Raw genomic sequence first — 17,196 nt, 5'->3', positions numbered from 1 at the left:
GTTATACAACTGAGCATAATTCCTTAGGTCACAACGATTGAAGACAAATACAAATCCATTTCAATCACTGCGAGGCACTGTACGGTAAGAGTAAAAATACAGCACAGAAAGGTACGAAGATACGATTCAACACATGACTTAGTTAAAACAGATTTTCTGTAACACCCTGGAGCTATGTAATTTTCACTTGGAAACCACTCGCATTTGTCCCCTTTAGTTAACAAGTTAAGTTTACAGAAGACAGCCTGACTGGCCAGCACTGTTGATCCTGACTCCCTTTATCCCCTCAGGGAAAAAACAAACCAAACCAAACCAAACCAAACCAAAACAAAACGCCTGTAGCAGGTCAAATTTTGTAAGCATAAAACCATCCATTACATATCTCATTTTAAAAACAGTATAGTATTTCTTAATTTAACAAAGCAACTCCATTTTGGAGAGCAGTATATACTTCAAATTTCATGGGTTACATTATCTGGCAACTAAGTTTATAAAAGTTCTACAGAAAGCAAAATCAAGTATTCTCCTTTGCAGCTTTTGATCTGAATTTTCCATCTGTTCACCTCGTCATCCCTCTGTGTCTGTCCACACATCTCTCCTGTGGATGGTTTCCACCCTCACCCCTACATCCCTCTGTGTCTATCCACACATCTCTCCTGTGGATGGTTTCCACCCTCACCCCTACATCCCTCTGTGTCTGTCCACACATCTCTCCTGTGGATGGTTTCCACCCTCACCCCTACATCCCTCTGTGTCTGTCCACACACCTCTCCTGTGGATGGTTTCCACCCTCACCCCTACATCCCTCTGTGTCTGTCCACACACCTCTCCTGTGGATGGTTTCCACCCTCACCCCTACATCCCTCTGTGTCTGTCCACACACCTCTCCTGTGGATGGTTTCCACCCTCATCCCTACATCCCTCTGTGTCTGTCCACACACCTCTCCTGTGGATGGTTTCCACCCTCATCCCTACATCCCTCTGTGTCTGTCCACACACCTCTCCTGTGGATGGTTTCCACCCTCACCCCTACATCCCTCTGTGTCTGTCCACACATCTCTCCTGTGGATGGTTTCCACCCTCACCCCTACATCCCTCTGTGTCTGTCCACATCTCTCCTGTGGATGGTTTCCACCCTCATCCCTACATCCCTCTGTGTCTGTCCACACACCTCTCCTGTGGATGGTTTCCACCCTCATCCCTACATCCCTCTGTGTCTGTCCACACATCTCTCCTGTGGATGGTTTCCACCCTCACCCCTACATCCCTCTGTGTCTGTCCACATCTCTCCTGTGGATGGTTTCCACCCTCATCCCTACATCCCTCTGTGTCTGTCCACACACCTCTCCTGTGGATGGTTTCCACCCTCATCCCTACATCCCTCTGTGTCTGTCCACACATCTCTCCTGTGGATGGTTTCCACCCTCACCCCTACATCCCTCTGTGTCTGTCCACACATCTCTCCTGTGGATGGTTTCCACCCTCACCCCTACATCTCTCTGTGTCTGTCCATATGTCTCCTGTGGATGGCTTCCACCCTCACCCCTACATCCCTCTGTGTCTGTCCACACATCTCTCCTGTGGATGGTTTCCACCCTCACCCCTACATCCCTCTGTGTCTGTCCACACGTCTCCTGTGGATGGCTTCCACCCTCACCCCTACATCCCTCTGTGTCTGTCCACACATCTCTCCTGTGGATGGTTTCCACCCTCACACCTACATCCCTCTGTGTCTGTCCACATGTCTCCTGTGGATGGCTTCCACCCTCACCCCTACATCCCTCTGTGTCTGTCCACACATCTCTCCTGTGGATGGTTTCCACCCTCACCCCTACATCCCTCTGTGTCTGTCCACACATCTCTCCTGTGGATGGCTTCCACCCTCACCCCTACATCCCTCTGTGTCTGTCCACACATCTCTCCTGTGGATGGTTTCCACCCTCACCCCTACATCCCTCTGTGTCTGTCCACACGTCTCCTGTGGATGGCTTCCACCCTCACCCCTACATCCCTCTGTGTCTGTCCACACATCTCTCCTGTGGATGGTTTCCACCCTCACACCTACATCCCTCTGTGTCTGTCCACATGTCTCCTGTGGATGGCTTCCACCCTCACCCCTACATCCCTCTGTGTCTGTCCACACATCTCTCCTGTGGATGGTTTCCACCCTCACCCCTACATCTCTCTGTGTCTGTCCACCCATCTTTCCTGTGGATGGTTTCCACTCTCACCTCAATGCAAGTCTCCAGCCCAGTCCCAGATGCCTCATGGCCCACTTGCTACCTCCCTCTAGAAATCATTCACCATAGTCCACACACCACAACAGCCAAATACAACCTGTGGTCCTTGAACAGATCCTTTTGCCATAAAAAGCATGACTGGGATAGTTGGCAAAGACTGAGCTTTTTATAAATTTAAAATTTCAAAAATAAAAGATAAAATATACAGCAGGCACTCAATAAACAGCAACTTTCTGAATTTTAGCATATCACTTAGAAAAGAATAATACATATGCTTTTTGCCTCACTCTATCTGTGACAATGTTGGGTTTCCTTGAATCTAGGGACCTAAGACACACTACGGAAAAATACTTCTAAGACACAGCACCCTCCTCACCGCCCCTATTTGTTAAATCAGGTAATCCCTCATACATAATCTAATTAACTGAATTTTTTCACACATTTAATAATTTTATGTGATTCATGAATAACTTTAATTCTACAACTTGGCTGTTTAAACGACAATTTCATTCACGGAACAAATATCCATCGAGCGCCTGTATTGTCCTAAGCTCCACGTACACATCAATGAACAAACCAGACAAACACCTTTGCCGTTTGGGAGCTTCTTCTATTCTTCAGCAGAGTTTATCTGTGGTCATCCACTAATAATTTTAGTTGGAGCGCTGATAGTCCTTCTTCTTCTTTTCCTGAAAATGCTGCATGCCTATTCCCTTCCAGCTGGTACCCTAGGTCAGTTTTTAAAAAGTTCTACAAGCACTACTTATTTTTTCCTCTGCTTTCCACCTGACTACAGAAAAGCAATGATTACTGAACATCAGAATGCCAACTGTCAGTGAGAATGGGCACCTCACGACATTTTCACATGGCATTATCTTCCGGTTAATGTAATACTGACCTTGTAAAGAATAAAAATCATCCCTTTACTAAGATAACCAATTATTATCATCTCTGACAAGAAAAATGTTTAGCAATAATATTAGTAATACAGCATTTTTAGTGACACTATTATAAACAAGGAAATACCAAATATATATTTTAGAACAATAAATCAAGCCTCCTTCCTCCATTTCTGGTATGTTTTACATGATCACAATTAATACAGACCAAAAAAATGACAGTTACTTAGACAAACTGTAATAACAAAACTCCCTTTTTAAAATCATAAAATAGAATGATATCAGAAATGAAAACAGGACTGTTTCATTTCTCCCTAAAACCCAAGCCCCTGCACACACAGTTGGTGCTGCCTGCCAGTCAGCTCTTCTGCCACTCCCAATTTTCATTTTTGGAAGATGTCTTTGTTCCAGTTTCACAATAAACTTCAGTTTTGTGGCACCTGTTACTCCATGTTTCAACTCCTTCATTCAGAGCAGTAATCACATACCTGAGGGCAACCACTAGGCTCTTTTCCTTCCTAGCCACCCTATACAAGCAGACAGCCAACGTGCAAGCTGAACATGTGGACTCCACATGAACAGCACATGGCATTTAAAGAACCCGAAATCCTCTACCATTTTAAGGTAGGTAATTTATCATACTATATGCAATAGAAAATTTAATGCCTAAATTTAAATCCTGAAGCAAAACTGATCATGTACTACTGATATTTTGACTGCACTCCCTATCTTTAAATAGGTTGAAGTTTACATTATAAATTTCAGACAAATTCTGGCAAAATGAGGAAGCTCTCCTCATGACTGATCTTCTGGTCTCTCTAAATCCAATCACATTTCCTGAAGCACAGCTCAGCTCACACTATGCTGACCAGACTCTTGTAACTGCCAGCTGCTGTAAAAATTCACAGCAGCTTCCTGCATAAGTTATTCACAGCTCCATGAACCTCTCTCGTCATTCTCCACCCAAATCGCCCCTCACCTCTTCCCATTCTATCTGACTCATGTTCATGACTTGGTTGATGTTCTCTCTACACCAAGTGTCTTTCTGATGCAAGATATATGCCCAAATCCTCTCCATTCACCTCCGAGGCTCACCTGCCAGCCCACTCACCTTCCCAGTGTCAGGGAAGGTATCATCATTCACTTATGTTCTCATCACATTGGATTCTCTTTGTTCTCTTTGAGCAGTGAGTCACTGTGTCCTGCATTACAGCTACCTCTGCAAATGGCTCCTTCCTCCAACTCCATTAGAAGCTTCTTGAATATAAGGAGCTCTATCCCTTCCAGAAGAGCTTCTCAATTAGGTTGACTTATAGTTTACCAACATTGATCGATAAGGAATTTGGCCAATTTCCTATTTTAAAAACCTACGATGAGGAGGTCTGTAATTTTACTGAATAAATAGTAAGTTAAGAAGCAACCGATATGCCCATTATATATGGGTTAGCAATAAAACTGTAAAATTACTAGTTTAGAAAGATAGATACAAAAGCACTTCAGGCTCTGGCACCCAATGTGCCCTTTTAGGAAGGGAACTCAAATCCATGATTGTCAGGAAAGGCACAAATAAGACACATTCTATTTTCTTATATATTCAGAATTTATCTGAATTCTAAGTAATAACCACTTCTTTTAATTCCAAGTAAACTGAATTTATAAAATCTGTTTGTCACAAAAGGAGGTTTTCATTTAAGGAAATAAGCATTCATGATAGGGCCAGGCATGGTGGGAGTCATCCCAACACTTTGGGAGGCTGTGGCGGGAGGACTGCTTGAGGCCAAGAGTTCACAACCAGCCTAGGCAACATGGCGAGATCCTGTCTCTACAAAAAAATTTTAAAAAGCATTCATGATTATTAGAGACCTCAATTCAAAACACCCATTAAAATCTAAAAGGTCTATTCAAGGTTGATCATAAAAATGGAATTTGATCAAAAGTCAAGACAATGCATCACGAAATATATTTTGAAAATACTCTTAGACACAGAAGACAAAACAATGTGCAAGTAAAGAATACGGATCTAGATAATGTAACAGGTATCCACATTTTGGTCGGCATTCGGGCCTCCACTTCACGGACTGCTCTGCTTCATGGACATTTCCGTGGACACATTCCCTGTCCACTGACCCTGCACCTTCTGTACACACTCCTTTCCTGCAGACCCACTGGCCCTGTTCACATGCCCTTCCCTCCTATCACCTCTGGTTATTTGGATCCTACTTATACTTCAGGTGCAGCTCACAGTCATAAACTGATCATAAAAATTCTAACTACAACTGCTGAATGGAGAAATTACAGTTCTACTGGTAATTATCTTAGCAAAACAAAATTAGAGATGATTACCCAGAGATGAAAGAACTCTAGGAAATGTCTATTTGTATCACATCAATATGGGCAATTACCTTCAACCCGAACCACCACAGTCTCTGTCCAACTACAAGGTGTCCACTTGTCCAAGGTTTCTCAGTCTGGCTATGGCAGTGCAGGACTGGAATGTGCACCCTGACTGGGGGAAGAGCAGAGTAAAGAAACTCTGCTGCATCCCTGCCTCTGCTGCTGGTCAGATGCCTCAGCAAACTGTCGTCTGTCGAGCCATAACAATTCCTTAACATTATGGAGCTCTCACTACCTACCCCCCTTCATTTGAATAAATGAGAATTGTACTGCCTACGGTTAAAAAAAAAACTGTATGAAACAATTTATTAATTTCAGAAATATTAAACCACTTAATTTAGGTCTTATTTCTAAACAATAATGGACAATCTATGTAGTCTATTAAGGCTGAACTCAAAATTTATTAAAATAATTAGTGTCTTTATATTTACATGCGCACACAATTAAAATTCATTTTATGGTAATTCTATTTCTTTTCCAACTAAGAAAGAACAGCCAGGCCTAGAAGCTCTATGTTCTTTGCTGCTGTGTGTCAGCATGTAGAACATTCAAGTGTTAGCTACCAACCAAAAACAATCACAGAAATGTAGAAACAGTTCCAAGAATACTAGTGAAACGGCATTAAACACTGTGCTGTTCAGTATGGCAGTAGGCAGGCCACAGGTGGTGACAGAGCACTGAAAGTGTGGCTCATCCAAACTGAAATATGGAAATGCAGAGACTTAGTATGGAAAAAAGAATGTGAACTATCTCATTGATGATTTTTATATTGACTGCATGTTGAAATAACATTTCTGATGTATTAGATAATATAAAATATGGTATTAAAATTAACTTCACTTTTTAAAAAAACACAGCTAGCAGAAAACTGAAAATTCCCCATGTAGCTCATATTATATTTCTATCGGATAGTGCTGCACCAATAATGTAGATTTTCATAGTATGTTTGTTATGAGTAATGATAGGTACTAGCAACACATTTACAATTATGCAGATAATATGGCAAAAACAAGATTTTACCATACTATAATTTACATGCTAACATTACACATCCTGATTTCCAACCAAAAGAAAAAAAAAAGAAAAGCAAAAGAGCCATTAAAATTGAGAACACAATATTATAGATAACTCCAGAAAGGCTAAATAGTTTTAAGGATTACTTGCTTAAAGGTACCTAAATATGGTATTTGAAAAGATATTATTGCATTTTAGTCCATTTATTCTCTGCAAAACTAATTATTCAGGATTACTCATTCCTCATTTAACAAACCAGTTTCTTTAAAGAAAAGTTGAGGCAGAGGTCTTCTGAAAAGCAGTTACAGATTCCAAAGACATCAGGAATTACAAATTTCATTAAGTACAATTTTGGAATTTAATTAACCACACTTAAATACCAGAGGTAAATTTTTAAATGCACTTTTCCCCGTCTGGAGGCCCCTGAGAACATCTGCAGTACAGCGCCCACACTGCTATGTCCAGCCTTTGTGCCCTTCAATGCAATTTCAGCGTATCAGAGGGTACCCAACGTGTAGCACACACTGGCAGAAGATTTAGATCTTGTATCCTTTAAAAAACACGCAAAAAGGAAACACAAAGATCACTGCCTGTTTGATCTTAACATTTTAATCTTAAAATGCCTCTTGAAACTGCCTTTCTTTCCATTAAAAAGGAAGAAGGGGGTTTCAGAGTGGGGATGGGACTAACGAGGGAGAGGAGAGAGAAGAAAGGAGGACAAAAAAGGATGAACCAAAGCTGTATCTGAAATTCACCTGTAGAACGAGCTACAAGAGAGAATGGCAATAAATGAACAAAAAGTTATCAAAAATTATAATAAAAAACAGAAATAACTCAGCTGCCATACATTCAACTTTCCCTAGAACTGAGAAAGAAGCACGCACCTATAAGTTGCTTTGTACATCCGATGAGAAATGGCAACAAGGAAAAGACTGCTCCCCAAATGTCTTCTCTAATTCTTTTACTGCACCTTTTCAGAAGAGGGCTTATAGAAGTGTAGGTAGTCTCCCCACACGCACAGGGAGGCTCGGTCAGGCGGAGCCTAGGCTTCAAACATTCCAGTAGCAAACCCTGAGTGCGTGTGGGAGTACAACGTGATAAACAGCATAAAGACATCATTAAAACACAATCCAAAAAAAAAAGAGCAGGAGGAAGAAAGATATGCTGGCCAAATCATCATGAATCCAACCCTATTGTTCTCAGGTAAGAAAACCTAGCCTGGGTTCTCTGGCTGGTGATTTTAGAACAATAAGTGGCTGAAATGACCTCAGAGCCCAGAAGTATTTCAGTCATCAGGCATACTTCTGTTGACACTCTGCCCGCTCGCTGCTCTCCTCTGGGTTTTTCAACTGCTTTACTTCTAGTCAGATAAGTAAATCCAGGCTTGGGTTTTAAAAACATTCTAAAGATCTCTCTTCTTGGGTAGGAATTACCTTAATTGTGAAATAATCAGTTCTAAAATTCACTTTGTATATGAATTCTACATTCAGCAACCTTGGAAGTCCATGGTAAGTTACCCCCAGCAGGTTTGGTGCTGTGAGCAAGGTAACTGAGCTTGATATCTATGAGCAAGGCTGTAGTTCCAGCTCTGGGTTTCGTTTATGCTTTGTATAAAATACAAACCCAACAGACCACATCTATCTCTTCCCTCTCCATAAAATGAAGGGAACGAAGGTGGTCCCACAGATGGGATGCAGGAAGCCCATAAACCCCCAAAGACCGCACGCGACATTTGCAGGTGTGTGAATTTCACCAGGGTAGAGTGCACAACTCTCCTTAGCCTCGCAAAGCGGTGTGCGACTCAGCAGATTTTCAGGCACAAGAGACCACTGGAGGTGAGCCTGACACTCCTGACAAAGCTCCCCAGAGTCCTGGCCTGTGCAGGGGATGGGTCTGGATCACTTAAGATTCCACTGAGAGAGATGGGGCAAGCCTGGGGCAGTGTGAACCTCTGGGCTACCCCACAGCCAATATTCTACATCCAGGTAAACTCTACAAATTATCATTTTCTATGATGGCTCTTTAGAGGATCAACATTTTATGTTCCTATTATGTTATTTTAATGTTGTACTTGAATTCAGTATTTCAGCCAATCCAAGAAATCAGCACTTAGGCCAAAATTATAAACCAGGTAAAAATAGTATTCTTTTATATAATTTACTATTTTGCTTTTGATACACAAATATATTGTTTCCAAATTCATAAGAAGCCATGAGGGGCAGTGTCACTTCATACAACTTAGTGGAAAGATGTTTCTGGCATCTCCGTGGAAGAAATGTAAGCACAATAGGTCTTTGGAACTGACTAAAAAGGAACCCGGAATTTCCTGACTTCATTTGTTTGACTAGGTGTTTCCCACATGGTCATAATTAGACCATTAAAGAACACAAGAGAAGGTCTCAAAGTCTTCAAAGGACTAAATTACAGTTTATGCGAGAAACTGACTCTCTAAACAGTGAGAAGGCATGTTAATAAACAGTCTTTACCATCTCATTTTTAGGGCATAGGAATCTTATGTTTTAAGCTAAGATTTTAAGATTTTAAAACTTTAAATCAGTACATTGTCTAAAAGCATAAACTTGAACATACTTAAGGCATTAATTAACCATTTATTTTTAAATAAAATAGTAAAATATCCTAAGTACTTTTAAAAGTGTCATTTTTATGTTCACTTTTAGAAAAAACAGGTCTTAGAGAAAGGCTGTAGTTAAAACCACCTAATGGGGCCAAATACAGGTTACATCATAGATATTCTTGTCCATGTCTTCAGCAAGTTACATAGCGGCAGTTATCATATTTAAAGCAACCTTCACCATATTATACCCAGCAGGATGAAATATCATGGCTGTTTTCTTAAATAAGAAGCATACAGAAGGCTTATGTTTTTATGAAGCTTAAGAATTTGCAGCACAAAAGTAGCAAAAACAAAAAAAGAGTGTGTAATTACAAGCTACATTAAACGGTTGTTGCTTCATGAGCAAGTTAATTATTGACAGGTTTAAACAAGTTACACTGAAAGAAAAAGCATTCCTTCAAGACCACAGTGAGCACGAGAACACCGGCAACTGCCCCCTGAAGAAACTCACCACTGACTGTGTTCTTCCAACAACAGAGAACCACATTTTCATTTCCGGGACCACAACAACTTCATGAACTGAAAATCAACCGTCTACTTCTCTCAGTTTTCAACAGCAACCAAGACAGCTGGTTTTTCAAGACCGGGATCACCACATTCTGCGCTGGATGCTATGACCCTGTATGGCATTTATCAACACGACCTAGAACCAATGCAATATTCAGGCTCTTACGTAACCAGTCCACGCTGACTGCTATTCGCTTTGTACTTTTAAACTTTAAAAAGACTTAGAAAAATAAAAAGGAGGGAATTGTTTGTAATTTTAAAATCCAAATTAAACAGGAAGCATCATGTTGTCCCACAGATGACCAAGAAGTAGCCTGCTGACCGTCCCCAAAAGCAATGTTTTAAAAAGTAAACTGCATACCCACACTGCTTCCAAATCATCTGGATTTCATAAAACTTAACCACCGTGTGGAAGGCGAGTCAGGGAACTTAACATCAAAACATGGTTCAGGGTTACAGCAGCTACCCCATACACCAATTTAGAAAAGGAAAAAAGAACGGGCCAAAGACAAAAACCACGCAGCTTATAGAAAACAAGAAAAGCACACAAATGACTAGGGGTAAAATTTAACGACACAAGTCTATAGGTTCCTCTGCAGAAAAAACATATACCACACACTCATGAGACTAACAAGAATACAAACAGCAGGTGATTATCCAATACCAGGCTCAACATGCCTGACACAGCTTCTCTCTCTGAAGAGCTGAGGTAACTATAACTATTACTACTATATTAAAGGCAAGGAAACTGAGGCTTTGAGAGGGGGTGCCATGGGCTCCGTGCTCCAAGGCTGCCAGTGGCAGGAGCAGAATATGCACAGCAGCAGCGTGACTGAAAAGCCCAGGCATAAACAGAATCCTATGTGATGCTGCCACACCAACACGCTCAGTAAGACGCAGGGCAGGGCTAACGGTGAAATCCCCCTGTATACTGCCCTACCCTGCACTCAGAATACACCCCTGAAATCTCAAAAATACCTCCACTCTATTATAATGATGTAAGCAGACCCACATACCTATCAACTATACAGTGTTATCTCGGCAGTGTGTATGTATTAGATGACTTTCCAAGTACCAGAAATTACAAGTAAACTGGAAAAAAAATGGACTGTATTTAGTAATCCAGTATGCCAGGGAACTGCTAGATTCATTTCTCTCATTTCAAGAAAAGGCATTAACAGATGCTTCATTTCTGAAAATGTTACACTGTCCAATTAACAGGCCATTTTCTTTATTTCCTTCAGAGCATCTATATGCTGACATCCAAATTTTATCTCTAGCTCTAACCTTCTGAGCTTCACTATCCAACTATCTACTAGATAATCTATTCACTCACCTGAACAGGCATCCCACATCTCCAGTGTGACATGTTCAAAGCTGAACTCCTGATGCCACCATGCCTGCCCCCTTCAGTTTCCCTGCCTTTGTAAATCACACCTCCATATGTCCAGCTGCTCAAGACAGAATCAAGATTCATCTTCTTGAGATTCATCATACTTCCCTCTTTCATCCACTACTGCAACTCATAAGCCAATCCAAAAACTGCCATTCAACAAATATGTATCAGTACCTACCATAACCAGAAACTGTCAACCTTTCAATAGTGGACAAGAGAAGATGCCCGCCTTCACGGGGTGTCTGTTCCAGAACGCCTTTGTCCTCTGCACACAGAGCAAACCATCTCGTCATCTCCACTGCCACGACCCTATTGTAAGCCTCCACGACCTCTCATCTGGAAAACTAGTACAACTTACTTACTAGTCTCTGGTTGTACTTCTGAGCGTCTCTAATCCATGTTCCAGAGTTGTAAAAATAAACTTTAAAAACTGCACTCTAATCATATCATGCCTCATTTAAACCTCAAGGGTCCTTATTTCACCTATAATAAAATCCTCAGCTCTGTCCAGACCCACCATCACAAGGCCTTTCTTTATGAAGTTTTATTGGAACACAGCCACGCTATGCCACAAACTGCCCTGTGGCTGCCATGATAGCAGAACTACTCAGGGCAACAGATTCCACATGGCCTGCAAAGCAGAAAATCTCCACAGTCTGGGCCCTTACAGAAAAAGCTTGCTGACACTGTACTCTATGATCCGGTCCTATCTGCCTCTCCACACACCCCACATGGCTTCCCCTGACAGCCCAAACTGGGCTGAGCCTGTGCACAGGGCCCGCTGCCATCCTTGACCTGGCTAACACTGACTCATCCTTCAAGTTCAGCACTGACTTCCACTCTGGAGCGCAGTTTAGACATTCTGCAAACAGCCATGGATAATGACCATCAACCATATAATTCATCACTCATATTATTCTGTCTCATCTTTCAAGTGGTCAAGGGGCATGTGCTGATGAAGTGACTAAGATCATAGACATCTCACCAGGAGAAGAAAACTTTTATCACTAGGTAAAAAAAACTTTCATGAGCGTCAAATCCACGCTTAGTCTCCCTAAATCTATTTTATAAGCTGATGATTAACCATTTTATTATTGTTATTATGAGACAGGGTCTTGCCCTGTTACCTGGGCTGGGGTGCAATGATGAAAAAACAGTTCACCACAGCCTCAGCCTCCTGAGCTCAAACCATCCTCCTGCCTCAGCCGCCAGTGTAACTGGGACCACAGGCGCACATCATCACACTCAGTATACTTTTTGATTTTTTTGTAGAAATGGGGTCTCACCTTGTTGCCTGGACTGGTCTCGAACTCCTGGGCTCAAGTGATCCTCCTGCCTCGGCCTAAACCCATCTGCTGGGATTATAGGCATGAGCCATGGCGCCTGGCCAAGTTAACCATTTTAGAACTAAATCTGAACTCCCTTTTCTTTCTTCCAGTTTTCAATTTATACACATTATTCACTGTGGAAGGTATTTGAAAAGACCAAAAACAAGAACAAAGTGAACATCATCTACAAGTTAGGGAGGATCACTCCCCACTTTAGAAAAGGGACACACAGGTCTATGTCCCCAGCAAAGGGAAGAGCAGGGCCTTTCCAGCCACTCTCTACCTCTTCCCGTCTGACTCCTCACGGAGGCAGCAAAGCCATGCATGGGAGAGTGAGACAAGGATGCCAAATAGAGCGGGTGCTCAAAACCTCTTCAGGCTGTCTTTTGGAGTGTCCTGCTCTAAGGGGACAACTACCTTCACCTTCCTCTTACCAGGGAAGACTTGCTGTGTGAGTGACCTGAGGAGGGGGAGGGAAGCATGTTTAATTCAGGAGTCACAAATTTGCAGGTGCAGTGTAGACATGCACATCAGACACATCCCCAATCTAGCTTCAGCTGGTGAAAGGTCCATCTTTTTGACTGTATGTACCTAACCTTCTACGCTGTTACTATGCCCCATTAAGCCCCAATTCTATTAATATAGCCTACAACCCAGTTAGAAGTACTATTAACATTGTTATTTCCTGGTCTTCTTTACAAATCTTTGTAAATATCTTTTGTTAATTTTTTTTTTTTTAATGCTGGAGATTTAAAGTTTAAAAGTGAAAATTTACACTCTACTTTTCACACGATAGGCAGTAATAGTCTTTCTGAAATATTATTTTAACTATTAGACACCACTTTCATACTAAGTTTATTCTAATACTAGTAAAAGTACAAAGAACCTAGTCTTGAAATTACAATATACCCTGAAGCTAACCCCTGCAGACTCCTAAATCACATTAGACTCACGGAAGCCAGTAATTGTACTACACTGATACCTACTGTACCTTTTCACCACACATGACAAATATTTTCGTAATAGCAAAGATTCCAGAGTCAGTTATTTTTATGACAAAATTACTTTCCATTGAAGATACAGAGAGAAGGCTGTGTTTCTTCTGAGGCTTCCTTGTGTAAGAGCAAATGCAAAGAGGACATACAGCAGCTCAGGGGACTTCACACCCCACAGAAGAGGGGATTAGGGATTAGCAGAGGCTGGGTGTGGAAGAGGTGACCAAGTGCAAGGATCTAAAAACAAGAAGCAAAGACAGGTGTGGGCAGCAGCATGGATGCACAAATGGGCAGAGGCCGGGTGGAGCCCATTCAAGCAGCATGGGCTCCCTGGACTCAGGCACAGTCGGGCACTCCTAGGGCTCTGCACCCGTGCCTGAGCGTCTGAGCTGAGGCACTTTTCCTGACACCTTTTGCACTCCTTCCCCTCTTCCCTCCCAGGTTCATAACTGGCAGAATCTTCCTTCTGGAGCTCCTCCTTGAAGTGAGAGGATTCTCCTCATCTGGGCATCATCTGACTGTCACCTGACACTGGGGCTGGCACCTTGTCCCTCAGCCTCTTGCCTGCATTGCCACAGTAAAACTGAACAGAGGCTCAGGTGTGACTTTCAAGCTGGCTTGTTGTCCTAATTGCCCCCTGTCACCCTGGCAAGGACAGAGGTCAAAATTCAGAGACAAACAACCAGAGGCCAGAGGCCACCCAGCAGAGGGTGAGAAAGTGCCAAGTGAACCCAGAGCTCCGCTCCTTCTGCCCTGCTGTAAGGTAATGCTGGTTCCTTTATACATCCGGAAATCATGCGAAAGAGAATACCAAAAACTCTGAAAGACTGAATGCAGAAGTAAATTAGACTTGAATCTATAGGAAACAAATAGTTTTGTACTGCAAGATACTTCTTTTAACTGGAAGAGGTGGACACTGATCTTGGAAGCCCCCTACTTCCACCTCCACACTCTTAAAACCCCAGGTAAGAAGAGCATTTAAAATAAGGTTACAGGATGAACATAACAGAAAATATGGAGGTTACATTCTGCCCACAGATTTGAGTACAGTAGGGTAATTTGTGATTCTGATTTTTTCCTGAAAATGGGCATTGACTCAGTCGGTAAGCAAAGAGAAAACATAGCTCTATGGCTGACAGTTCCCCTTTTACATCTCCAAATGTTTGAGTTCTGGTCCCTTAAATTGCAACAGCCTGGAAACATGGCCTGTGAGCAGGACCCTTACCAGGAGTAAGCAGAAATTCTGGATGGTGAGGTGGACTGAAGGGCCCTGGACTACCCTCTGCCTGCACAGGTGAACCCCACACGTCTTGGTCTCTGAGAGGCAGCTTACTATGCCCCACGCATCACCTTCAACCCATACGCTAAAAGGGTTCAGGTTCCTCTGACGAACTCCTGAACAGATGCCCACCTTTCGTCCCAGGTTCTTCTAATCCATCCTGCACACCAGACCCAGATGAAGCCTCCTAAAATGTCAGTTTCATCATGTTCCTCTTTTGTTCTAAATCCTGCATTTCTTTGTGGTGCCTACAAGATAAGGCACAGACTCCTTAACCTGTCAATCAAGAGTTTTAAAACTAATTAAGCACTGCCTTCCTTATTCTGCTCTCCTTAGTAATCGCACAGGTCTCACCTTATCCAAAAGTGGCCCACACAAGACTCGTTTCTTCTATCTCTGCTTGTGCTCTCACTCCCACCCACAATATATCTCCCTTATTCCTTTATCCCAATTATGTCTGTTCCAAGGATTAGCTGAAACTCCACCTCTCCCAAGATGCCCTCCACAACCGCTACAACGCCCATTCATCTTCTTAATTTCTCCAAAATACACAAAGGTAAAGTTTTATGGTACTTGTACTAGATCTTAATCACATATTGTTTCGTAGGCATTTGTGTTGTTATGACTAAGATTATGGATAACAAATTTTCCTCATAGCTAATTCAGTGAGAGTTGTGCTAATATAGCTGGTAATGTGTTATTTTAAATAAACTAACTTCCAGGATTAAACCTGTGTAACAGCAAATCAAATATCCACTCGGTAAAAAAAAATTGTTCTTATTTGCTATTTTTCAACAAGTATTTTTTGCCTACTATATGCTGGGGACTGTGTCTGGGAGTGGGGATAGCTACAAAGAAGATGCTACAGAATCAGTCTGACAGGAAAAAAGATACCAAACTCATGATTTAATTCCAGTTCTAAAAGTACCCTGATTTAGGGGACAGAGATGAGCAGAGTGAGCTGCCAGCAAGTCCTTGCAAAGTAGGACACAAAAGCTTTGTTAGCACTTTGGGAGGCCGAAGTGGGAGGACTGGTTGAGGCCAGGAGTTTGATCGAGATCAGCCTGGGCAGCATAGCGAGACCCTGTCTCTAAAAAAGTTTTTAAAATTAGCCAGGCATGGTGGTATGCTCCTGTAGTCCTAGCTACTTGGGAGGCTGAGGCCGGAGGATCACTTGGCCCAGGAGTTCAAAGCTGTGATTGTGCCACTGCACTCCAGCCTGGGTGACACAGCAAGACCCAGCCTCTTTTAAAACATAAAAATAAAGGTCTCACAGCATGATGGGACAGTAGATGCAAATATGCCCAGCCAGGCAAAGCCTGTGTACTTGTTAGACCACTTAGTAGCTCACCATCTAGCCTTCGGTTCAAAGCCAGGACCTCAACATTTTTTCTCATACTTCTGCACTTGTTCGCTGCAAAGCTGACCTCATGGCCTGCCCCTATACCCTCATTTCAAACGGACCCTTCACAAATTAGAGCAGCTGAGGAAGAAAAAGCTTCGGTGAAAGCTTTTAAAAATCACAGGTCTCTAGCAATGGGAATGGCAAGGTTTCAAATGACAGTCCATTTATTTCCAAATCAATATTCAGGATAATATAATTCTGGTATAAAGAAAAATAAACTAAAATTTTTGACTATTAGCAATTAAAATATTTCTCAAGGCACATTAACTGTGTAATTCAGAAGGCACTTCTATCATATTGCTATGTAACAGTTTCAAGCTTTTCATATATTCCCTAGAGATAGAAACAAAAATACAAATTGTAGTGGCCAAAGTGTTATTTTTAAGCAAAATATCAGCAAAGTTGACTGAAACATTAGTTACTGAATATTAGCTAAACACATATTTGTTTCATGGAAAATATCTAAATATGATTCAAAGCTAAAATTCATTCTAAGCAAACATAATTGAGATTCCATATTGGAAGAGGCTCATGAGTGAGTAACACCAAGTCACAATACTCATTTCTTTAACTCAAAGAAAAGATCTGTGTAGCTTTAAATATCCTGCCAAAACTAGCAGGTGAAGGGATTCAAACCCCAAGAATTCCAGGAGGGTGGTCCAGCAGTCAACACCTATCAGAACTATATAAGGCCTAGGTTAAGAATGCCATTTCCTAAGCTCCACACCAGACTTACTGGAAGGCACCTGGAAATGAGAACCAGAAATCTCCTTGTGTAGCAAAGTCCTTAGCGGTTTTTATGTGCACTGGAGTCTGAGAAAGGAGTCCAGTGGCCCACTATGATGAGGTGACAGCCCTGTGCCCCACTCCCACGATGCAGTTTTCTACTGTAGCAATGCTTTCTCTCCTCACTGTGCGAATCAAGTTTTGACTATGCCTTTAAATTGTTTCCTTCTGAGCACCATCTGCTCAATCTCAAAGTATCACTCTAGCTACATTCTCAGAGTAGGAGATCATCCCTCAACTAATTGGGCCCAGTGAGCACACTGGCTTCATTCATGTAACACCATTCCTCTCCTACGCAGAAACAGAACTGAACAGGCA

At 42.0% G+C, this 17,196-nt stretch overlaps 1 protein-coding gene and 1 long non-coding RNA gene across 54 annotated transcripts in view; both read right to left on the bottom strand.

Moving 5' to 3' along the window:
- AFDN (afadin, adherens junction formation factor) overlaps positions 1-17,196 on the bottom strand; it is a 145,460-nt gene that overhangs the window by 29,630 nt on the left and 98,634 nt on the right. The window lies entirely within an intron of this gene.
- Positions 5,915-7,630, bottom strand: LOC107986673 (uncharacterized). The gene is made up of 2 exons (XR_001744471.2): positions 7,432-7,630; positions 5,915-7,097 (listed from the first exon to the last, which is right to left on the bottom strand). It is a non-coding gene; the product is annotated as an uncharacterized LOC107986673 (long non-coding RNA).

The sequence above is a fragment of the Homo sapiens genome, chromosome 6, assembly GCF_000001405.40.
Source record: "Homo sapiens chromosome 6, GRCh38.p14 Primary Assembly".
Lineage (NCBI taxonomy): Eukaryota > Metazoa > Chordata > Mammalia > Primates > Hominidae > Homo > Homo sapiens.
Note: the sequence above shows the minus strand (reverse complement) of the source record. Positions and strands in the feature narration are given on the sequence as shown.